General features: G+C 37.7%; 2 protein-coding genes across 40 annotated transcripts in view, besides 3 other annotated features; one reads left to right on the top strand and one right to left on the bottom strand.

Moving 5' to 3' along the window:
* The window catches only part of FAM200B (family with sequence similarity 200 member B), a 53657-nt gene that overhangs the window by 5189 nt on the left and 23714 nt on the right, over nt 1–24754 (bottom strand). For 4 of the 24 annotated variants that reach the window (NM_001145191.2, XM_024453999.2, XM_024454000.2 and 1 more), the window contains exon 1: nt 3358–3432. The gene's annotated coding sequence lies outside the window, so the exon portion shown is untranslated. Of the gene's footprint in view, nt 1–299; nt 410–3237; nt 3433–3474; nt 3531–24754 lie in introns of those variants that run through there. The other 20 variants (XM_024454005.2, XM_024454006.2, XM_024454011.2 and 17 more) reach the window with 9 other exon arrangements.
* Nucleotides 3163–3212: an enhancer, noted in NCBI's record as "active region_21343". NCBI's record gives its function as "activates an Ori minimal core promoter by ATAC-STARR-seq in GM12878 lymphoblastoid cells {active_cell/tissue: GM12878}" and the evidence as "EXISTENCE:reporter gene assay evidence [ECO:0000049][PMID:35858748]".
* Nucleotides 3223–3462: an enhancer, noted in NCBI's record as "active region_21342". NCBI's record gives its function as "activates an Ori minimal core promoter by ATAC-STARR-seq in GM12878 lymphoblastoid cells {active_cell/tissue: GM12878}" and the evidence as "EXISTENCE:reporter gene assay evidence [ECO:0000049][PMID:35858748]".
* Nucleotides 3633–3932: an enhancer, noted in NCBI's record as "active region_21341". NCBI's record gives its function as "activates an Ori minimal core promoter by ATAC-STARR-seq in GM12878 lymphoblastoid cells {active_cell/tissue: GM12878}" and the evidence as "EXISTENCE:reporter gene assay evidence [ECO:0000049][PMID:35858748]".
* FBXL5 (F-box and leucine rich repeat protein 5) overlaps nt 3690–24754 on the top strand; it is a 77189-nt gene continuing 56124 nt past the window's right edge. For 7 of the 16 annotated variants that reach the window (XM_011513831.3, XM_047450054.1, XM_047450053.1 and 4 more), the window contains exon 1: nt 3690–3979. The gene's annotated coding sequence lies outside the window, so the exon portion shown is untranslated. Of the gene's footprint in view, nt 3980–17218; nt 17884–24754 lie in introns of all 16 variants that reach the window. The other 9 variants (XM_047450060.1, XM_017008019.3, XM_047450061.1 and 6 more) reach the window with 3 other exon arrangements.

Raw genomic sequence — 24754 nt, 5'->3', positions numbered from 1 at the left:
GTTTCTAGGGATCCATGAGTATAAAAATTTCTTCTTTCATGACAATCATTTTCACATCTGCATATCTTACCATATCTGATTAAAATAAATCCTGGGTACATTTTAAAACACTATTATTTTGTGTTATTGGTCTAGTTACAAAGTTGTATAGTTTGGCCCTAAACCTCTTTTTCCTGATCAGGTTTTATACCTTTTAATACAATTATTTTGCAGACCATGACTTCTTCTAGGAAATCAAAGTCCTAAATGCTTTAACGATGGTTAAATAGCTACAGATTACATATGGTACCTGATTGTACCTTAAAAGGTGTGCATCTGGGAGAGAATTCAGGACCTGGTAGATGCCTTTGACTTAATCTTGGTTAGATGCTTCCTTGAAAGATGACATGTTACAAATAGTTAACCTTGGCTGGAAAGAGACAAAGCTTTTCTTAGGAGGTTTTATGTCCTCTGTCGAGGACATTAGCAGGACTAAAGAGTTTATGGTACATACCTCTTGCATGTCCCAGCACAGTGGGTGGTCATCAATGTATTCAGAACTACACTGCTAAAGGCAAATGCATCTAGATCTCTTTCTAATGCATAAGAAAAGCTGAAGGGCAATACACAGCCTTGAGGCAGTCTAAGCCAGATAAACAGCTGCCTGAAAGGGAATACTGACTCTTCCTTCCATAGTTAAAAGTTCATATAAGGATGCTAACATGTTTTAATGCTTCAACTTTCCCCCAAGAAACCTCAAACTACTACAATTTTGTCCTTCTGCCACCTCTCCCTAGATATTTATCATATATAGCTCAAGAAAAACAGTGCTAAACAAAACATGTTAAACAAAACATGCTACAAAGTCTTTTGTTTGACTTTCTTTACTTATATCTCCGAAAGCGGCTTTAATGAGAAGCCAGAGGAATTTTAGGGGAGAAGTTCAAACCTGAGGTTCTGGCCTAAACATAAATTCTGGAACTTTAATTTAAATAGACATGCTCAATTAGTACTCAATGTAAATCAGAGCATGTTCATACCCGAACACGATCAAGTACACCAGTGTGATTCCATAACCCAGGTGGGTTCTGCTGGCCCAAACACCAAAGACCTATAAATGTGTACACTGATGCTTAAGATGTGTGCACTGAAATTGGCTCCTGCGGCTACATGGCAACATTTCCAAGTAATAACTTTATTCAGCTATCCATCTACTTAGCCTCCCTTAAGAATTGCAATTAAGGTAATCAAATATTTGTAGTTGAAAGTTTCTCATACACCAAGGTGCATTAACACGGTTATATGATATGGTTTTAGGTAAGTGATTTTCCACTAATAAATCTTATCTACCTGTTCCTAGAATAGTGCTTGCTGTATGGTAGTTACTCAATGCATATGAGAGAATGAGAAAATTAATGACACCTGTAGTAAACTGTACAATGTACACTCTATTTTTATCACAGTCAGTAACAAATAAGTTATCCAACTATATTTGGACAACTGGGAAATATGTAAGACGAAGGCTAATAAAACATATTATTTAAAACAGGATTGTTAAAGATTCTACTTCATAATAAACTGCTTATGTTAAGAAATAGTAGAAACAATGATCCTATAAAAACATACATGTAAATTTAGATTTAGCTTTTAAAGCTTAGAACCTAAATCTACCTGAAAAAAAGAAATATACATTAAAAAAGTATCTTATTTTTATATTACTATATATGGATCATTTATCTCTTAGAAGCAATTGTCTTTTAACTATTCCATTCTTTCATATTCTTACTATTCACGTTTCAATCCCCCCTTGAAAGTTTGTAACACTAGTTCAGTTACTATTGTATTAAAAAGATATTTTTAAAGGGTTTACTCTCCCTCCTAAATCAGACAGTTCATCTATAGTAACAGCAGTGGCAGTATATTAGGGAACAGGTCTGGTAGATGTGGTGATGAAAGCATGGGGAAGTTTTTTTTTAACTCAATAGGATGTGAGGTATCATCTAAGTAAGAGGCCGAAGTAGAAAATGTTGCAAGTTTGTCAGAAGAAAATATGAAATATTAATAATTGTTAAGGAATGTGATAATATGATGGACTAGGAAAATGTTTTTGGATTTTTAGTCTGGCTGGTTGTCTTACTTGCTTAATGCAATGATTGTTATTGTTACAATGCTTGATAGTCTAAAATTCCCCGTCACTAATCTTTTATATCCTAAGATATATCTCTAGTGCGCTGTATCATCTTCTGAAAATACAGCTCTAATCAGCTTCCTCATAACTGGAAAAGCATTTAATGGCGCCGAGCTTGTGTAAGCTCTTCAGGATAATATCCTTTAAGCTTAAGCCTCATCTTTCCAGGTTTCTCCTTCATCACATGATCTCCATACATTCTACATTTCAGTACTAAAAGTATGGAAATTCTTGAAATAGTTCATGCACTTTCATGTCTCTGCTTTTGGCTAGTATTCCTTTTGCCTGGAATACTCTTGTTGGGTCACATGAAGTCCTATTTATTCTTTTCTACTTAGTTCAAATGCTACAGCAGCCATGCATTCAACTAACATTTAGCTACCTACAGTGCCTAAAGTATGTCAGGCACTGGAGATACTAAACAATGAACAGTGACATATTAAAATAACAGAATATCTGTTCAGCTATTAAGATGAATAAGGTGGAGTTACACAACACTGACAAATCTCAAAAACATTATGTAAAACAAGCTAGCTGCAAAAAGATGTACACATTACAGATTGCATAAAGGTGGTTAGGAGAGTGGTTTCCTTAGGCAAAAGGAAAGAGAATGAGACGGGGTAGAGCTGACAAAGGACTTCAATCACTTATATAATCATTTATTTCTCCAATTCAGTGGTGAGTACACATGTGTTATAGTTTTGTTTCTACCTTTTTTCTGTCTAAAATCGTCTATTTAAAAAAAGCATCTTTAAGGCTGGATACCTTCCTGAAGGCACTGGAAATCTGTCATACTGCCACTAACTTAAAATTACCTTCCACCTCTTGCATTTCCCTTTGTTTCCTGTTTTGACATTGCGCACACATTAGTTAGTACACTAGGCCTTAAGAGTGGAAACTGCCAGGTACCAGCTTTAGCTAGATTAAAACATGACCCTCTTCCCAGGAGACTCCTGACCGGTTTTCTCGTCCTCCAGGGACCCAGCTAGGATTTCAATGAACTTTGGCCTGAACCCCTCGGCCGACCCTAGAATAATCGCCCTTCAGGCCCGGATTGCTTCTGCTCTCACCTTCCCTCAATTCATACGGGGGGCAAAACCAGACTGTATTTCCCGCAACGAACCCTGGAATGCTTCGCTTTAGCGGACTCCGGTCCACTCCCATCAGAGGATGCCCTTCTTTCGCCTCACCTCCAGCCCAGCCGCAGCGACCCGGCCGGGCCCAGCGCTGCAAGCCTCAGGTCTCTCCAGCAGAGCTGCGCCTCTGCTCTCCCCACACTTCCCTCCGCAACACCACTTCCGGCCTACCTCACAAATTCCCCATTCCAGCCGAAAAGAACTGGATCGGCCCTCTGCGCATGCGTGAGACCGGGGCGGTGTCCGGGGGTGCCGGGAGCGGGCGGTGCAGGCTCCACTTTTCCACTTCCCTACGCTCTGTCGGCAGTCTCGCGGGATTTCCGCCTCTCGCGGGAGTTATTTGAATGCCAGGGCGGTAACGACTCCCTAGGCGCCTGGGGCCCTCTGACAAGAAACCCTAGGAGACACCGCGGAGAACTCTGCCTCTGAGCTGGTGGGCGGGCCGGATGTAGCCGAGCGCGGACAGGGCTAGTCCGGACAGAGTCCCAGAGCCATGGGAGCGAAAAGAGACTGCTGCGGATTAAGGAGGCCTTTCGGTTGGCGCAGCAGCCACACCACAACCAGGCGAAGCAGGTAGTGGCGCTGAATCGCTCCTGCCGCGGGGTAAGCGCTCCCGGCCCGCGCCCGCCCCAGCCCCGACCTGGCGGGGCCAGGACGCTGGTTCATACACTCCAAGGTGATTTTCATAGTCTTTGTGGAAGAATTAGAGAATTTTGAACTTTGATATCATTGCACGTGTTTACTTATTTAGAGAATCGCATTGTGTTTAATAATCATAGTATTCCTGTGCGACTCTTTAGGTTAGCAGATCATTGATTTTTAACATAAAACTGCATTTCATTAAATAGATTTAAATATGTATGTATATTTCTGTCCTCTAATGATTGTAACAAAGCAGATTTCTTGATCATTAACAAGATAGGTTCGTGCAAATAAGTGCATCTTTGTCACAAACCAAATTTTTTTGTGGTTGAGATATATATTTATATATATATGTGAAACAAAAAACATATAAAGGAGAATATATATATATTCTTATATATATAATATATACTGCTTTATTTTTTTGGGTTGACATATATATGTCATATATAGTTTTTTTTTAAATTCTACCTTAAACAGGGAAACATGTTAGATACAGGAGCTTGAATTTCAACTCTGAAACTTAATGCGACTTTATCAGCATTTCTCTTTCTCAAGCTACTTACTTCTTGTAGGATTACACAGTCAAATTTTTAAAAATTTTTGATTCTCCAACTGGATTTTTTTTTTTAATTTTTGAGACGGAGTCTCACTCTCTCGCCCAGGCTGGAGTGCAGTGGCGCAGCCTCGGCTCACTGCAACCTCAGCCTCCTGGTTCAAGCGATTCCCCTGCCACAACCTCCCGAGTAGCTGGGATTACAGGCGACCGCCACCATGCCAGGCTAATTTTTGTATTTTTCAAAAATACAAAGACGGGGTTTCACCATTTTGGCCAGGCTGGTCTCGAACTCCTGACCTCAGGTGATCCACCCACTTGGGCCTCCCAAAGTGCTGGGATTACAGGGGTGAGCCACTGCACCCAGCCTCTCCCACTGGATTTTTAAAGCTGTTTTTTGATTAGCAAATATTTCTTTTACATGGCTCAAACTACATGAAAAGAAATGCAGCAAGAAACACTTCCTCCCTAGTCCCTATCCAGTACCATTCCTAATAGTCTTCACGGGTAATCATTTTAAATTAGTTTCTTGTTTATCCTTCCGGTCTTCATGCAGAGATACAAGCAGATGAGAATATACAGTCTTATTTCACTCGGTCTCTCCTTCAATATTTTCTGCATTGTTCATGTTTTTTTTTTTCCTGTTTTACTGTATATTCTGGATATTCCTCCTTATCAGTATTCAATTAAACTTATTTTTTCCTGTCACATACTCCATTTTGTAGATATACTCCAGTTTATACAGTAAATCACGCGTAGGTGGACACTTGGCGTTGTTTCCAGTCTTCAGATATTAGAAACAACTCTTCAGTGAATACATGTCATTTCTACATTTGCAGGGGTAACTGTCAGATTCTGAAAAGAATTGCTGGATCCAAGAGGAAATGTGTTTGCAAATATGATAGATATTTACAGTTGCCCTTCATAGAGTGATCCATTTTACACTCCTATCAGCAGAGAAGAGAATGAGACATACTGCTTTTTTTTTTTTAGGGGGATTGGAAAGAACAGGAATATAATTGGGATTTTTTGATAGATAAGTAAAATCCTGAAAAGTTTGGGAATATGAGTTAGAATGATAAAACATATAACAAAAATAACTTGTTGTGTGATAAGAAGGCTTAATTTTAAAAAGCAGTATTGAATTGGGACCATTGGGTGTTGGTTTTTTGTTTTTTTGTTTTTTTTTTTTTTTGTTCCTGAACTGTACCTTTAGCATATTTCTCTAGATAGATTCAAGGATATTTAGAAAAATCAAAATCTCTTGTGATCAAAATCTGTGCTTCCTTGCTCCATGACAGAAGCAATTCAAAAACAAGAGACTTGGGTAAATATTACTCAGGTTTATTTTCCTCAGTTTTTTCTACTGGATGGATAATTAATAATTGTTAAAGAGTAGATATTTTAGCCCGACATGGTGGCTCACACCTGTAATCCCAGCACTTTGAGAGGCCGAAGCGGGTGGATCATGAGATCAGGAGATCCTGACCAACATGGTGAAACCCTGTCTCTACTAAAAATACAAAAATTAGCTGGGTGTGGTGGCACGTGCCTATAATCCCAGCTACTCAGGAGGCTGAGGCAGGAGAATCGCTTGAACCCAGGAGGCGGAGGTTGCAGTGAGCCGAGATCACGCCGCTGCACTCCAGCCTGGTGAGAGTGAGACTCCGTCTCAAAAAAAAAAAAAAAAAAAATAGAGATTTTAGTTTGGTGAAAAATTGTTGAGATTTTTGAGAATTATGATAGTGCTAGGGACAGAGACTATTATCAATGTAGTTTGTGAAGGGTTTGTTTTTTATTTCTGCTGACCAGTAAAAGTTTTTTAAGAGGCATTTGTTCATTATATCAATTAAGCTATGATGATCTGCAAATATGAACCAACAGTAGAGTGAGAAACAGAATTTGCAGCAGTTTATTACATCATTTCACCAAACAGAAGGAAGATAATGAGAAAAATGAAGACAGTGACATTTCAAACAAAATGACCTTATAAATATTTTTCTGTAGGCTAAAATAATAAGCTTATAATTAAAAGCTGATTTGTTAAGTAATAATAGCTTACATTTAAAATTATAAGAAACCAATTTTAGGTAAATATACTTAAATTAATGCTCTACCTAGGAAGGAATGCAGAAGATCATTTTGGTCAAAAAGTTGTTGCATTCTTGTTATTTAGCAAATATTTCAGACAAGGACTATTTTGAGACTATGTAAATGTATATTTAGTATACCTATGCATGAAAGTAGCATTGTAGCTTTTCTTCGTTTGCATGAATTGTAACCCCTTTGAGTTATTAAAGCCTTCACTTGGGGAAAATCAAGTGGTCGTTACAATGCCACTTGGGAATAAGTTTTCATTTGTTTTTGTTTCAATACTGAGGTAAACAGCAATGAAGTTTTTGATGTGCCAAATTCTGAGTAAGTTATTGGGAAATAAGCCAGAAAATGCCTAGATTAATAATGTTTTGTGTAAAAAATTAATGAAGCCATTCTTGTTAGATTGAAAGATAAAATTGCAAATGAGAAAATCCAGGCAATCCTGCCTGTTTTGAGACTTAACACCTATGAATAATGACTTGTCCCATAAGTTAAAAGTATGTGCAACTTCATAGTTTTTTGTTTGATTTTTAAATTCACAGTAGTTGAATTATTCCTATTAAATATATAATTTATGAGAAAAGAAAGTATGTATGAAACACACCCACCCGCCCATTTAATGATACATCATTCCAATAGCAATTCCCTGACACCAGCTGAATGTCCTACAATGCAATTCAATTTCGTTACTAATTGCCTGAAGTTAGCACAGTTGCCACACAGGTTAAGCGCTCAGTCCCACAGGACTGCCTCCATTTCAGATGCCAGCCACAAGTCTCAGGTATTCCCAACCTACTTGGACTTCTTCCAGGCTGACTCCATATTTGGGCATTCCCATGACCTACTCCCCAAGTTTGATAATTTGCTAGAATGACTCACAGAACTTAGGAAAGCACTATATTTACTACTACAATTTTTGTGTAAAGGATACAACTTGGGAACAGCCAAATGGAAGAGACACATAGGGGAAGGTATGGAGGACAGAGGGTGCAAAACTTTCATGCCCTCTCTGTGCCACCCTCCCAGCACATTAATGTGTTTGGAAGCCCCTTGAGCTTCCAATGATCAGACATGACTCATTAATCATTAATCACTAGTCACTTATTTGAACTCAGTCTCCAGTTCTTCTCCCCTTGTCAGAGATAGTGAGATGGGCTAAAAGTTTTAATCCTGTAAACACCTAGTTGGTTTTTCTGGTAACCAGCCTCCATCCTGAAGGTACCTAGGGTCCCTCTCTATCTCCCAACCCCTATGAGTCACCTCATTAACATAAACTCAGGCATAATTGAAAGGGATATATTATGAAGTATAAAAGACACCTCCTATTAGGAAATTCCAAGGGTTTTAGGAGCTTTCTTCCAGGAACCAAGGACAAAGAATAAATATATTTTTTATTATACCACAGAAGAGTAATAAGACGAACATATATACCCAGCATCCAAATTAAGAAACATAACATAAAGGTATCTTTTAAGCCTCTTGTGTTCCTTTGTGAATATATTTCCTCTGCTTCCCAGAGGAAACCATTATCTTGAATTTTGTGTTATCTGTTACCTTGCTTGTCTTCAGAGTTTATTATAGTTTTAACGCTATCTAGCGGTATATCCGAAATAAACCTCTTTTTGACCTTAATATAAACGGAGTTGTAGTGCATGTATGCTTTCAGTGGTTTATTTTCTTAATAAATATAGAACATATCATTTGTTAGATAATTGTATTGGGCCATTCGTGACTACTTTTTTTGTCTTTTTGTTTTCTTAAGATTTTGTTCTTAGCTTTGAGAATTTCATTTCTTTAACATGGACTAGTGATATATTAGGTAACATGTACTTAACAGAACTGAAAATCATACTTTAAAATTATTTATTCTGAAAGTGTTCAAATATACACAAAAGTAAAGAATTGTATAATGAACCCAACAACCCAACACCTAGTTTCAACCATTATCAAGTCCTCCCCCTCCCCCCCGTAATACTCATTCACATATACACACACTCTACCCTTCTCTCAGCCAGAATTATTGTGAAGGAAATGTATGACCCTGTAACATTTTTATCTAATATCTAATATTGAGTGTTAAGATTTTTATAATTATTGCCAAAAAATGTTTTTTACACTTGTTTCTTTGAATTAGAAGCTAAACTATGTCCACATATTTCATTTTATTGATATATCTTTGTCTCTCTTAATATATAACAGAGTCTCCCTTTTTTTTGTTGTTGACATTTATTTGTTGTAGAGATTAGGTCATTTGTCTGATTGAATTTCCCATATTCAGGATTTGGCTGTTTCCATCCTCATACAATCTTTCAACCTATTCTATCATGTTTATTTTCTGTAAACTAATGGTAAAATTTAGATGCTTGATTAGGTTCAGGTTTGACTACTTCTTATGCTTTTTATGCGGTAGTTTATAAACATCCTATTGCATCATATCAGGAGGTGAAAGGCTTCAATAATATTTTTGAAACAGTGTCCTAATATATATGGATTAAGGATTATAGAGCAATAATATATAATTTCCATAAGCTGGGTTGCTCTGTAGTCATATCTCCTCTAACCTCCTTTCTGGTTTTAGATGGAGAAGCTAAGATCCAGAAAGTTAAGTATTTGCCAAAGGTCAGACAGCTAATTTAATAGTAAAAGTAGAGCTCTTTTTCACCTCTCACTCCTTTTAAAATTTTGTCTCATAAATCTTTGATATCTGTGGATCAGAAAGAATTCTGTTTGAGGTAGTCAGAATAGCATTTCTGCGTATTCAACTAGAACAGGAGTTTTGGCTGGGCGCGGTGGCTCATGCCTGTAATCCCAGCACTTTGGGAGGCCGAGGCAGGCGGATCATCTGAGGTCAGGAGTTCGAGACCAGCTTGGTTAACATGGTGAAACCCCATTTCTACTAAAAATACAAAAAATTAATGGGGTGTGGTGTCAGGTGCCAGTAATACCAGCTACTTGGGAGGCTGAGGCAGGAGAATTGCTCGAACCTGGGAGGCAGAGGTTGCAGTGAGCTGAGATGGCGCCATTGCACTGCAACTTGGGCAGCAAGAGCAAAACTCTGCCTCAAAAAAAAAAAAAAAAAAAAAAAAAATAGGAGTTTTGTGACCGAGAAGTTAAGACATAGTGAAGGTTCAACTCCTTGAGTGGTTCTGTTTTTGCACTGCCTGTGTGGTAGCTAAGACTTGAATTTGAAAGTAATAGTTAGAGGGGTTAGATAGGATCTAAGCCTGAAGGCTGGTAAATCCAGGATAGGAACAATGCAAGAAAATCTTTATATACTATAGTAGTAGTTGGTCATTTAGTCCTAAATAATTTTTATTTGTGGTACTTATTCACCTCATTTTTATATACTAGTATTTTGCTTCCCATATTAATTTCTACTTGTCTTATAAATGTTAAGTATAAATTAATCTTAATTTGAAGAAAATGAATTATGGAACAAAATATAGGAAGTGAAAACTAGAGGGAGGTAGCTTTCCTCTATAAATTATGTGACTTAACATAAAAAATCAATGATGTGGAAAAGTCTTCTACAAGCCTGGTTACACATCACAGAAATACCTTACAGTTGCTTCATCTGTTTTGATGCATAAAGTGTTTTGTAGTGGCAGGCCCACTGCTTTTTTTTTCGTGATTCCTAGTGAACTGATGGGAATTTGTGCAAACAATGATTGTAGGTATATGACAAATTAATTTATCATTAAAAACCATAACCGACTGGGTGCGGTGGCTCGTGCCTGTAATCCCAGCACTTTGGGAGGCCGAGGCAGACGGATCACAAGGTCAGGAGATCGAGACCATCCTGGCTAACACGGTGAAACCCCGTCTCTACTAAAAACACAAAAAATTAGCCAGGCATGGTGGCATGCGCCTGTAGTCCCAGCTACTAGGGAGGCTGAGGCAGGAGAATAGTGTGAACGTGGGAGGCGGAGCTTGCAGTGAGCCAAGATCGCGTCACTGCACTCCAGCCTGGGCGACAGAGTGAGACTCTGTCTCAAAAAAAAAAAAACCCAAAAATCCCATAACGTTGATAATCTTCTAAGATGATAGAAATGAGTTGATAAGGAGAAAAGAAGGTTTTATGATTAAAATGAAAGTTTCATGAGTAATAATTTTGTAAGGAAAAAAGTTATGATTACATATAATTTCACTAATATATAAACGTAAAATGGAGAAATAATCCCAAATAAATACAATATAATAAAAATTGGGGGACATTTTATTTAAAGTGATGAGTGTGCTATGTATTCATAAGTTGATTTCAGTTTGGGATCTCAAGTGCAGTTCTCACATACCCAGTACAGTGTTAACTCTGTTTCTTTGTTTTTATGGGTTAAGAATTAAAAGTACCAATAGCGGTACTACATTCATGCCACTTAGCAATGAACAATCCTATTTCCTCCAAAAGAATGATACATCATTATGACATAGGGCTAGAGAATTAAAAAAAAAAAAAAAACACGATGCATTTGATATTTCATAATCATTCTTTAGTATTTCCAGAGAAGTAAGCTACAATATTTCCTATTCTGCAGGCACCAAGCATAACTCAGTTTTTGATTCAGAGTGTTGGAAAACAAATCTATCCAGTTTTTTCCTTGAATGTATCAATTTTTGTTCTGGCATGTAATGGTTAAAAGTTTGATACAGGCCAGAAACAATAAAAAATGGACAAAATATATAAAACAATGTTTTCCAAGATATTGGATATCAGGCAATGAAGGACAGTGAACCTTGATCAATAGGAAACAAAGTGAGTCCTATGATTGCCTCAGTTTATTGCCTTGGGAGAATTTCTAAGCCATAGTACAGGGAGAGGGGAACATATGCAGCCTAGTGGAATCCCTCTGTTGATAGAGCCTGGAGCCTGGTGAAACCAGTGCAGCCAGAGTTTGCTAGAAGGGAGAGAGCTGCATAGAGAGAGAATTCTAGTGATCTGGAATGAATCTCTCCTGATTCTTCAGGTAAGTATTGATCACTGTATGCATGTGAGGAAATGACCTGAGGCCAAGGAAAGGATCATCCAAAAATATTACAGTACAGTCTTGGATCACATAAAGACATTTTGTTCAATGATAGACTTCATAAGATTATAATGGAGCTGGAAAATTCCTACCACCTAGTGATGTCATAGATCTCAATGATGATGTCTTATGTGTCTGTGGTGATGCTGGTCTACTGTCTTGCTGATACATTTATCCTTATTTTATCTTTATTTTTTTTGAGATGAGGTCTCACTCTGTTGCCCAGGGTGGAGTAGAGTAGTGCAATCTTGGCTCACTGCAGCCTCGACCTTCTGGGCTCTGGTGATCCTCCCACCTCAGCCTCCCAAGTAGCTGGGACTACAGGCACGGGTCAACACACCCGGCTAATTTTTTGTATTTTTTGTAGAGACAGGATTTTGCCATGTTGTCCAGGCTGGTTTCAAACTTGTGGGCTCAAGCGATCCAGCTACCTCGGCCTCCCAAAGTGCTTATTACAGGTGTGAGCCATTGCACCTGCCCTATTGTTATTTTAGAGTATACTTTTTCTACCTATGTATATTTTCAAAAGTTAACCGTAAAACAACTTCAGACAGATCCTTCAAAGTATTACAGACGAAGGCATTGTTATCATAGATGACAGCTTTGTGCATGTTATTGCCCTTGAAGACCTTCCAGGGTGACAAAATCTGGAAGTGGAAGACAGTGATACTGTTGATTGTGACCCTGTGTAAGTCTAGGCTAATTTGTGTCTCGTAAAAATAAATTTTTTAAATAAAGTTTATAAAATAAGGATATAAAAAATATTTTTGTACAGCTGTACAACATGTATTTTAAGCTAAATGTTATTACAAGAGAGTCAAAAAGTTAATTTAAAAAAATTTTTAAGTTTATAAAATAAAAATTTACTGTTGAAGAAAAACATTTTAAAAATAAATTTAATGTATTTAAGCCTAAGTGTGCAGTGTTTATAAAGTCTACAGTAGTGTTATAATAATGTCCTAGGCCTTCACTTTCACTCACCACTCACTGACTTACCCAGAACAACTTCTAGTCCTACAAGCTCCATTCATGGTAAGTGCCCTTTACAGGTATACCATTTTATCTTTCATACTGTATTTTTACTATAACTTTTCTATGTTTAGATACAAAAATACCATTGTGTGACAAATTCAGTACAGTAACTGAATGCTGTACAGGTTTGTAGCCTAAAAACTATAGGCAGTGCCATATAGCCTAGGTGTGTAGGAGGCTGTGCCATCTAGGTTTGTGTAAGTACTCTATGATGGTCACATAATGATGAAATTACCTAAAGGTGCATTCCTCAGAACATATCTCTGTCATTAAGCAACACATGACTGTAATTGTGTCGTGCTCAGAGACGGCTGGGAATATTGGCTGTTTCCACAAGACAGACTGGAAAGCCTCATTCACGGAGCATTGGGTAGAGTGCATAGAATGGGCCTTGCCTCAGCTGTGGGAAACCATTAGCCCTAGACTGAACACTGTCCCTGTCTTGCCTAACAAGTGTTTAAAGCAAGGCCTGAAAGCATCAAACTATTTCTAAGTAGCTTAACTGAATTCTAGAACAAAGCTCAAGAAGATTTATAGGGATACAAAAACATCCAGCACCTAGAAAGGTAAAATCCACAATGTAATCTCCAAACTAGCAAGGATGCAGAAAAGCAGGAAAATAGGACCCATAATGAGATAAAAAGTGACATGTTAGAATTCAGACAGTATTCCATATGTTCAAAAAGTAGAGACATGGAAGATAGATGTCAATCCAACTTCTAGAGATGAAAACTGCAGTGTGTGAAATGTAAAACCTACTGTATGGGTTTAATGGCAGATTGGACATTGTGGAAGAAAAGATTCATGAGTTTGAAGAAGACATAGCAATAGAAACTAATCAAAGTCACACCAAAAAAATAGTCTATCAGTGAGCTGTGCATAAGTTTAAGCACCCTAGTGTGTAATGGGAGTAGGGGAAGGGAGCATACAAAGTATTTGAAGAAATGATAGCTTAAAAATTTGATGGAAACCATAAACCCACAGATTCAAGAAGATATGAACTCCAAGCACAAGAAGCATAAAAAAACCACACCACCCAGGCGTGGTGGCTCACGCCTGTAATTCCAACACTTTGAGAGGCTGAGGCAGGAGGATTGCTTTGAGGCCAGGTGTTTGAGACCAGCCTGGGCAATGTGGAGAGACCCTGTCTCTTAAACAAAAACCCAAACCAGAGTACACCATAATCAAATTGTTTAATACCAGTGATAAAGATAAAATCTTAAATGGACTAGGGGCAAAAAGGTACTGTTTTCAAGTGACTTGGAAATAGTTACAAAGGTAAGAAGTTACATTTCTTATAGGGAACAATTTGAGAAGCCAGTAGAGCAACATATTTCAAGTACCAAACAGAGAAAAACCCTGTCAACCTAAAATTACATGCCCAGGCCAGGTGCAGTGACTCACGCCTGTAATCCCAGAATTTTGGAAGGCTGAAGCTGGCAAATCACTTGAGGTCAGGAGTTCGAGACCAGCCTGGCCAACATGGAGAAACCCCATCTCTACTAAAAATACAAAAATTAGCTGGGTGTGGTGGCGGGCACCTGTAATCCCAGCTACTCAGGAGGCTGAGGCAGGAGAATCACTTGAACCCAGGAGGCGGAGGTTATAGTGAGCCGAGATCACGCCACTGCATTCCAGCCTGGGCAACAGAGTGAGACTCGATCTCAAAAAAAAAAAAAAAAAAAAAAAAAAAGTCTACGCACAGAGAAAATGTCTTTGAAATACAAAAGCAGCATACTTTTTCAGACAACAACTGAAAGGATTCATCAGTAGATCCGTTGTACCAGAAATGTTAAAGGAAGTTAAGTCAGGCAGGTAGAAATACACTAGGGACCAGAAACCCATGGTCTGCAAGCTGCTATTTTACTGCCTGCAGGCTAAGAATGTTTTTTTTTTTCCTTTTTTCAAGGGTTATAAAAGAAAACCAAAAATAACTCCTGACATTGCCCAGTGTTTCTTTTGTGGGGGGAGGGGCCCAGGGGCAGGGGACATAAAACTGCCTTCAGTTGAGAACCACTGGCTATATATGCATCCCAGTTAAAAGCTAAAGGTTGTTGAATTGGATAAAACAAGATCCAATTTTATGCCTCTTATAAGGCACACACTTTAAATGTAAAAAACCCAAATAGGTTAAAAGGATGAAAAAAGATATGATGGTAACACCAATTAAAGCTGGAATCTCTGTATTATTAGACAAAGCAGATTCTAGAGCAAAGAATACTGCCAAGGATGAAGAATGCAAAACGGAGCAACCACTGGAAAATATTTTGACTGTTTCCTGTAAAGTTAAACGTATCTATCATACGTATGATCTAGCCTTTCTACTCCTAGGTATTTACCCAAGAGAAAATGAAATATTTGTTCATGCAAAGACAAATGTCCATTGTAGCTCTATTTGTAATGACCAAAATTTAGAAACAACCAAAGTGCCTATCAGGTGAATAAACTGGAATACAATGGAACACATATGAGAATACTACTTAGCAGTGAAAAAGAATGAACTGTTGATACACACATGCAATTCATTTCAAGGTACACCTCCATAAAGCTTGTTAAAAGCTTGAGTCAGGAAGTGAGATATAACAATACAGTAGCTCTAATTTTATTTCTTTCAAAATTTCTATAATAATGTCCTTTTCCATATGTTGCAAAATTTCAGGAGCATATAGTACCTAGGGTGATTACCGCCCCTTTAACAATAATGTCTTTTGGAACCCTTGGATAAGTTGGAATGTTGAAATCCCTGTAATTATAAATATAGTTCATAAAAAATGCTGAAAATATCAGTAAAATATGTGGTATTATTACTTAGATATTGTCTTTGGAAATGTTTGCCAAATAGTAATTGCTTTTCAATAAGAAAAAAAGTACTGACCAACTAGTATTGAGTATTTAATAAAAATAACTTTTCATAGTGTGAAATCAGCAGACTGTCTTTGGATGCCAGAGTTTTGTTACATTTTCTGTGGGTTGATGATCATTGAAGCCAAGTATTGGGTAAAAGGGGAGTATTTATTATCATTCTTTCTACTTTTATGTTTGTTTGAAATTTTTTATCATAAAGCATTTTTTTTTGAGACAAGGTCTCTGTTGCCAAGGCTGGAATGCAGTAGCACAACGTTTAAAAAAATTATATTATCTAGCAATAGATATTCTATTCCTGAAAATACATTTCTGTTGTTTGATATATAATGACATTCTGTTAACAAAACACTACATATATGATGGTGGTTCCATGAAGTAATACTGTATTTTTACTCTACCTTTCCTAGTTTTGGATACATTTAGATACAGAAATACTTAACCTTTGTGTTACAATTGCCTACAGTAAAGTAACATGCTGTACTGGTTTGTAGCCTAGGAGCAAGAGGCTGTATATATAGCCAAAGTATGTAGTTTGTATCTGGGTTTGTGTAAGTATGCTCAGATGTTTGGGCAGTGACAATGGCCTAGTGACAGATTTCTCAAAATGTATCCCTGTTGTCAAGTAACAAATACTCAACTATATATCTAATTCAGTTGTGTCTGAGGTTATATTTAAACAACATGGTGTATCCTGTACTAACCGATCTTCCTACATTTCTCTACAAGTGTTATGCAGCTTATTTTCAACAAGGTGGATTATGAAGTCTGTACAGACTTATAGTAACTATTGCTTCCAAATGTTCTGCAGTGGTAAAAAGTAAATGAGCTACTGTGTTGTCACTCTGGATAGTTTTTAATTAATTAGCTGAGATTTAAAGTTATACATACCATATCCAGACATGTTAGAAGAAAATATGTGAGTTGTTTTCTGTCTCACAATATGCTTTAATGATGATAATAAGGCTTTATCACTAACAATAGTGCAATAACTAAGAAATTAGTCTGGGAACTTGAATGTATTTTTTTCCTTTGTCAGTGAGTTCAGCATCTTATATCCAAATAGCTTTTTTAATTTTGAAGATTTTAAGCCTTTATTTCAAGAATACCATTGACACATTTGATAAATGCACATATTAAATTATCTTCATTATAATCTTTTATACTTCCTTTTTTCTTTTTAGAATGTGACTTGTACGATGTTGGCTGTTGGTTTGAAATAAACAAAGAACAATACAAAAACCAAGTACAAAGAACAATACAAAAACCAAGTACAAAAAAAAATAAAAGAATGTGATTTGAATAAAGTCAAAATCTGCTGTTTAAAAACTCAACACTTTTCTCTGTTTTGTCACTTATTTTACATCCCAGATCCAGCAGTTGAACTTGAGCAGTTTTTACTTCATCATTCTTGATTATTTTTATTTTTGAAAATGTGGTTCAAGTGTAATTTGTAGTTTGATTAAAATGTTACAAGTTATAAATTTGAAAATACCATACTAGATAATGTGTTTTGACAAATGAACTGACCATTTACAACTGATACTTTTTTTGTCTTTATACTTCTGTCAGTAGCAGATGAAATCCTTCACACATTAAGTCACAAATAATTGAATTTTATTAACCAAAATTTTAATTGTTACAATCATTGGCTTTTCGATTAAGTTGATAGTTAAATTGACCATCTGTTTTTTTTTTTTTTTAGAGATAGAGTTTTGCTCTTGTTGCCCAGGCTGGAGTGCAATGGCGCAATCTTGGCTCACCGCAACCTCCACCTCCCGAGTTCAAGCGATTCTCCTCCCACAACCTCCCGAGTAGCTGGGATTACAGGCACCCGCCACCACGCCTGGCTAATTTTGTATTTTTATTAGAGACGGGGTTTCTCCACGTTGGTCAGGCTAGTCTCGAACTCCTGACCTCAGGTGATCCGCCCACATTGGCATCCCAAAGTGCTGGGATTACAGGCGTGATAAATTGACCATCTTATACCAGGAAGTCAAATGAGAAGACATCAGTAAAAATATTCTGGCCAACTCATGTTTTATTTATCATATCTTCATCATTAATTGCTTCTCATAATGCCACAGTTTGTCATGGTATTTGTGGCAGCAGGCAAAGTCCTTGTTCAGACTTTGATTAAATTGCTGTGGCATTTTTCTATTAAAAAGATCTCCTGTTTCAATCTATAGTTTGCCTGTGATCTGTGGGTTAAAAAGAGCTATTTTTTAATACTATTTTTAATAGTATTCAAATGGAATACTATTCCATTTGATTCAGTGTTTTGAGATAATATATGATTTTGCTTAGTCTCATTTGGATGAAATGAATATTTCCAGATCTACATGTCAAATAAGAGGGTACTGCAACTTGGTATGTAACTCCTAAAAAATAGAAATTGTTTAATATGAGTTAAAACTTCAATTTTAACAAATGTTGAGTGCCTATATCATATGCCAAGCATTGGACTAGGTACTTGTACATGTTTTCTCATGGACTGCCATCAAGGTTAAAGAGGTTGCCCGTGATCATGTGGCTGTTTAGTGAAAGAGCCAAGAACCTAAGTACTACGACGTGTATTCAGGTGCCCTTTGCACTGTCCCATGATTCAAATCATTAAAGGTGGGATGTGATTTTCAAGATTATTTAATAGCTGCAATTTGTAATGGGTACAAATATGGTTTATAATGTTTACATTAAACTAGAAACTATGCAACATCCAGTAATTTTAAAATTACGATTATTTTGATTGATAATTTATAATTGTATACATTTATGAGATACAATGTGATGTTTTGATATATGTCTACAATGTGGAATGATTACATCAAGCTAATTAACACATTTAGCACTCCATTTGCCTGTCTTTTTTTTTTTAATGGTGGGACATTTGAAATTTACTCTTAGTTTAGTTTAGTTTTGTTTGTTGAGACAGGTAGCAGCTCTGTCACCCAGGCTGGAGTGCATTGTTGGGATCACAGCTCACTGTCACCTTGACCTCCCAGGCTCAAGCCTCAGCCTCCCGAGTAGATGGAATCACAGGCACACACCACCACACCTGGCTAATTTTTTTGATGTTTAGTAGAGACAAGGTCTCACTATGTTTCCCAGGCTTCTCTTAGTTATTTTGAAATATTTATTATTATTGACTGTAATCACCCTGCTGTCCAATAGATCTCAAAACCTATTCCTCCTGTCTACCTGACACTTTGCATGCTTTGATCAACAACTCATTCCCACCCCCACAGCCTCTGGTAACCATCATCCTCTCTTTACTTATATGAGTTTAACTTTATTTTAGATTCCACAAATGTGAGATCATGTGGTATGTGTCTTTATTTTATTTTTTTAGGCAGGGTCTTGCTCTGTCTCCCTGGCTGGAGTGCAGTGGCGCCATCATGGCTCATTGCAGGCTGGACCATCCTGGGCTCAAGCAATCTTCCCACCTCAGCCTCCTGAGTAGCTGGGACTACAGGCATGCACCACCATACCTGGCTAATTTTTTAACTTTTTGTGGTGGTGGAGTCTACTTATGTTGCCTAGGCTGGTTTTGAACTCCTGGGCTCAAGTGATCCTACTGCCTTGGCCTCCCAAGGTGCTTGGAGTACAGGTGTGAACCACCGTGCCCAGTCCCAAAATTCATATTTTTAAACTGAAAAGCCAAGTCACCCTAAAAGGTTTGTATTACAAGAACAAGATGAGGAAATGGTCATTTTTTTTTTTTTAAAAAAAGGTTGTCAGTAGGAAATTGAGGCAATTCTGTTTGTATGCATTTGGCCTCAAGGAAGTGATTCAGCTTCCTCTTGCATTAGCTCAAGGGTGTGGCTTATGGTCTTGGACAGTTCACTTGTGATCCAGATTCCTTTGGAGGGTGTCAGAACAGGTGCAGGTACACTAATCATCGGATTCCTACCAACAGCCAAATCTGTCTCAGTTGAGAGCCATGTATTTTACTGGGTTCTTTTTTTCCCTTAAATTTAAGAATTTTGGACTGGGGGCCAGATATTCTCATCCTAAGTTTGTGTTTCTTTTCTCAGATAAACGTTATTTCTGCTCAACTAGCATAGAATTTTATTTTTTATTACATATTTAAAAACATGTCGGGGCTCTAGTATGCACAATGCTCTAGGCTAGGCAGTGGAGTTGGGAAGAAGAGTGGGAAAGAGTGAAACAAATATAAACTTGGGTTATATTTGAATATTAGCTGTGGGTGTTTAGCATTCAAGTAATTTTAGATACATCTCGCAAATTTGTAAGGTAGTCCCAAATTAAGTTTTACTGAATTGGTTGGGGTAATTCCTGCAAGGTAGACCATCCTAAGGATAGAAGAAATGAGCTGTACTAATAATAAGCCGTTGTTGGAGAGAAGGAGGGATTCTGATTATAGGGGTATGGCTGTACCTCAAGTTTGCCTTGGCTAAGATGCCTGACACCGCATCTGATGCCCAGGGAGGTAGGGGGCTCTAAGTAAATATGGTTGACGGCTACTTCACGTAAACACATGAGTTGAAACAACCCGCCACTGGAACCCTTTTAACAATATGTCACAAATAAGAAAGGCATTCTTTCCTACATTGGCAGCTAAGCTCATAATGGCTACCTGAAAATAGAGGTTTCGAGGAAGAATGGGAGAGACACGTGGCTCAGTTTTCATCTGGGGTAGCAATGTAGCTGTAGTGGGAGTGAATTTATGACTGAGCACATGAAAAACATTCCTGATAATTCAGAAGCCCTTTGCATTAAGGGTGGGGAGATTTTGCTGAAGTTTAGGTTCTAAACTTCAACCTTAAACTTAATGAATCATTAAGATTCACATATTAATGATATTGTGACATTTGTACCTGTAGGCTGTTGGGGACTGCAGAAATAAGGGTTATATAAAGATGAGCAGGACAGGAGTGGTGGCTCATGCCTGTAATCCCAGCACTTTGGGAGGCCAAGGTGGGCAGATCACCTGAGGTCAGGAGTTTGAGACTAGCCTGGCCAACATGGTGAAACCTCGCCTCTACTAAAAAATACAAAAGTTAGCCGGGCGTGGTATCAGGCGCCTGTAATCCCAGCTACTTGGGAGGCTAAGGCAGGAGAATTGCTTGAACCCGGGAGGCAGAGGTTGCAGTGAGCTGAGATCGTACCATTGCACTCCAGCCTGGGTGACAAGAGTGAAACTCCGTCTCAAAAAAAAAAAAAAAAAAAAAAAAGGATGAGGGCCCACTTTGGTGGGGGAAAAAGATATGTTTATGTCAATAAAATAAACAGTATATTTAACTTTATAAGTGAGGTACTGTACTAGGTACCTCATCAGATGACACATAAGAGTGCCTGGGTCCTGTTCAATAGGAATTAGTGTGCCAATATGATTTAACTGAGGGAGAGTCATTAGATTTTTTGTTTTAGAAACATTGCTGACTAGCTGGTTTGGTGCAAGGATTGAAATGAGAAGCTGAAAGCAGGGAAACCAGTAGTTCAAGGAGAAGGTAAGTAGGGCCCATACTAGGTCTGTATTAGTGTAAGCAGAGAAGGGATGAATTAGAGATGTTTGAGAGGACTATGTGTCTTATTAAGATACTGAGTGATGGAAAAATGAAAGCTTTTAAGATAACTCCAAAATCTCTAGAAGCAGTATTGTGTGTTACCTAAAAAGATAGAAGCTCTGAAGCCAGACTGCCTAAGTTTGAATCTTGGCTCTGCTATTTCTTAATGGGGTAGTCTTGGGCAAATTATGTAGCTTCTTTAAGTTTTTCATCTGAAAAATCAGGATAAGAGTGCCTACAATTCATGCAGTCATTCTGTGAATATAAATACTCTAAAACCAAAAAGTCTTTAGATTGGTGACTTGCACTCAGGTTTGTTTGCTGTCATTATATTAGCCAGGGTAAGTCAATGAACAGTGATGAAAATGAGATGAGAATACAGAAACCTTGGCAAACTCAGAGGACAGAAAATGGTGAGTTCACTTTTGGACTTACTGAATCTGTAGCTTCTGGCAAATGATAGTCACCTAGTGTTTGTTGAGTAGTGACAGAAATAAGCAGATTTTTCTTTAAAAAAAAATTATGTGACAGGTACTGTTGTGAGCTCTTTGACTATATAATCTCATTTAATCTCCACCACAGTCCACTAGAATAGGTAGTAGTATTTCCATTTCACAGATGAGTGAGCAGAATAGTGAACAGTTTTGTGGCTTAACGGTAGTAGCAAAGTCCTCATTCCCAGAAGGCAAAAGAGGTTCTGTTTTACCCTGCTGGTAGTAAGTAAGAAAGTGGACCAGCTGAGATTTGAACCCAGACAATCAGTCCAACTCCAGTGTGCTGAATGAACCACTACAACAGGTCAAACCATTTTGAAACCTCTGGCCCCTAATATCTTAATAGAGATACTGAGACTAGAGTCTATTATGGTATCCTATTTCATACAGTGTTAGGTGTCTAATAATAAAGATACCTATCATTTATTGAATGGCTACTATGTCCCATGCAGTGGAGTACTTAGTGTATTGTTAGTTTTTCAATAATGAATGACTATTATCAATGTATAATATTACCCCTATCTTTGGAGAGGAATATCATACAAATATTATGGTATATATAAAGGAAAGGATATCATTTCTAGGAATTTTCAGTAAAAGACTGGCAAGAATAAACATATGTAAACTTGTAATTCTTCACAAATAATAGCATTCCTTTTATTTTGACCCATCTTAAAGCTACCCAAATTAGAAAGTTACATTTGGTAAATATTTTACAACCATTTCTTATTTACTCATTGCTTACCCTGCACACTAGGTCAATATGCTCTATTGTTTTATGGGTCAGTTATTCAGTGACAGAAAGATTATTCTGACAAAGATCTGGTAGTAACAATTGTGCACACTGAACATTTTTTAAAATCTGGGAATAATGTTTAGCCACAAACTTGTTCACTATTCTGCTGTTCCTTGTCAGCAACAAGAACACCTTTGCAAAGACAAAAAAAAATTACATCTTACTATAGTATCAGCTACCTAGGAGTAGATTACATAAAGATAATGGATTGAATGGATTGATTCAATTTTAACTACCTCTAGAATGATATTGAAAAAAACAATTTTTATCCTTCACCATTTCTGGGCTGGGAATGGTGACGAGAGGCTCACTTGAATTATCCAAGTAGAGCTTTTTTATTACCAGTGATTTCTAAGCTTGACCTTTTCAAGGAACAATGCATATCTGATGATCTCTTGGGATAGTCTCATTATTTAATGTATATAGCAATATTAAAAGATAGTATTGAATGCTTAATATGCCAGGTACTGTGAAAGCCTATTACACTTATTCCGTTAATCTTTACAACAACACTATGAAGTATATTTTACTCTTTTTCATAGTTTATTAAGTGAGGACCTAGAAACTCAGAATAGATGATTTGCCCTGGGTCACACAAGTGCCACCACCTTTGAACTTAAATATGAAGACTACCCTCTAGAGTTGGTAGAGCCGTGGAAGGAGCCTATGCCCCTAAATAAAGTAGAGCTGTCAAACCAGTTCTGGACCACGTTTAGCCAGCTTCAAAGATGGCCCTCAATTAATCCCTTCGTTTATTAGGTACACCATTGTGTAAGCAATCCCCTCCCACACTGTACTGGGGTTGTTCTGTATGACCAGTAGCATAGGCATGAGTGATGGGATGTCTCTTCTGAGATTATGTTATAAAAGACTGACTTATTTTGGGTTTGAAATCATTTGCTCTCTCTCTTTATTGGCCCTCACCTTGAGGAAAGCAAGCTACCATATTATAAGTAACTCCATAGAGAGTACCATGTGGTGAGGACCTGAGGTCCTTATTCTAACAGCCTATGAGGATGTGAGGCCTCTCAACAGCCACCTGAGAGAACCTGAAAGCAGATCCTTCAGTCCTAGGTTATGTCATCGGATGATCGCAGCTTTAGCTGCCAATCTGACTGCAGCCACATGAGAAAACCTGATCTAGAACCACCCCATAAGCCACTCTGTAATTCCTGATCCTTAAAAACTGAAATAATAAAGCCATTTAAGTTTTAAAGGGTGCTTAAGCCATTCAAGTTTTGGGTTAATCTTAAGCAACAACAGATAACTAATACATGAGAAAAAGAGAAAAAAAAGACCCCATCTTGCTTAAGGCACTGTTATTTTCTATTTTCTGTCACTTACAACTAAATGTGACAAGTCCCTTCTCCAGTTAATTTGTAGAATTAACCTAAAGAAACAGCTTTGAAATACTATTCCTAAGGTTCCCAAACACTGAAAATTGGCAGAGACCAAAGAGAACATCATGACCAATCTGCTCATTTTACAGGTAAAATAGCTAACATTTAGTGCTTCCCATGCCAGGCTCTGCTAAATTCCATAAAACACTTAGTTCTCAGGATACTCTGGAGACTCACTATCCCTTTACAGATGAGAATACTGGTTCCACACTCCAACCCATTTTGCTTTACTGTCTCTTCACTGTAAAAGAACACTTTTAAAACAGTGCAATTACAAGCACATGCCAAAGTTTTGTTACAACCTTGCACACAGGGGAAACACCTATAGTAGTCCAAAGAATCACCTTGGTAGAGACATTTTAGGGAAAGTGAATGGAACTAATCACAGTTAAATTGGTTACACAAATAAAATAATGATTCGTTAAAGGTTACCTAACTTTTTTTTTTTTTTGAAATGGAGCCTTGCTCTGTCACCCAGGCTGGAGTGCAGTGGCTCAAACTAGGCTCACTGCAACCTCCTTCTCTCAGGTTTAAGTGATTCTCCTGCCTCAGCCTTTCCAGTAGCTGGTACTACAGGCGTGTGCCACCATGCCCGGCTAATTTTTGTATTTTTAGTAGAGATGGAGTTTCGCCATGTTGCCCAGGTTGGTTTCAAACTCCTGACCTGAAGTGATCCGCCCACCTCGGCCTCCCAGTGTTGGGATTACAGGCGTGAGCCACCGTGCTGGGCCACCTAACTCTAGACTGACTTATCTGGATGACTGGTGACAGATTTCCCTTAACAAGTCAGCCTGGGAGAGTCCTTTTTACACATGTTGTAGATTAATTAATATGTATTAATAATCTAGCACCTTTTATCACTCAAAAGTGTCCCAGACCAAGTCTTTACAGTCGAGGAAATGAAGGCTCCAGAATGGCCAAGTGATTTGCCCTAGATCTTGTGGGTAGGTAGGTAGTGAGAAGTGGGATTAGAATTCAAATCAATGTTTCGTGTATTAGCCAGGCTATTGGTCAGTGAACACA

The sequence above is a fragment of the Homo sapiens genome, chromosome 4 (assembly GCF_000001405.40).
Source record: "Homo sapiens chromosome 4, GRCh38.p14 Primary Assembly".
Taxonomy (NCBI): domain Eukaryota; kingdom Metazoa; phylum Chordata; class Mammalia; order Primates; family Hominidae; genus Homo; species Homo sapiens.
The sequence above is the reverse complement of the archived record's forward strand: the minus strand, read 5'-3'. Positions and strand labels throughout refer to the sequence as shown.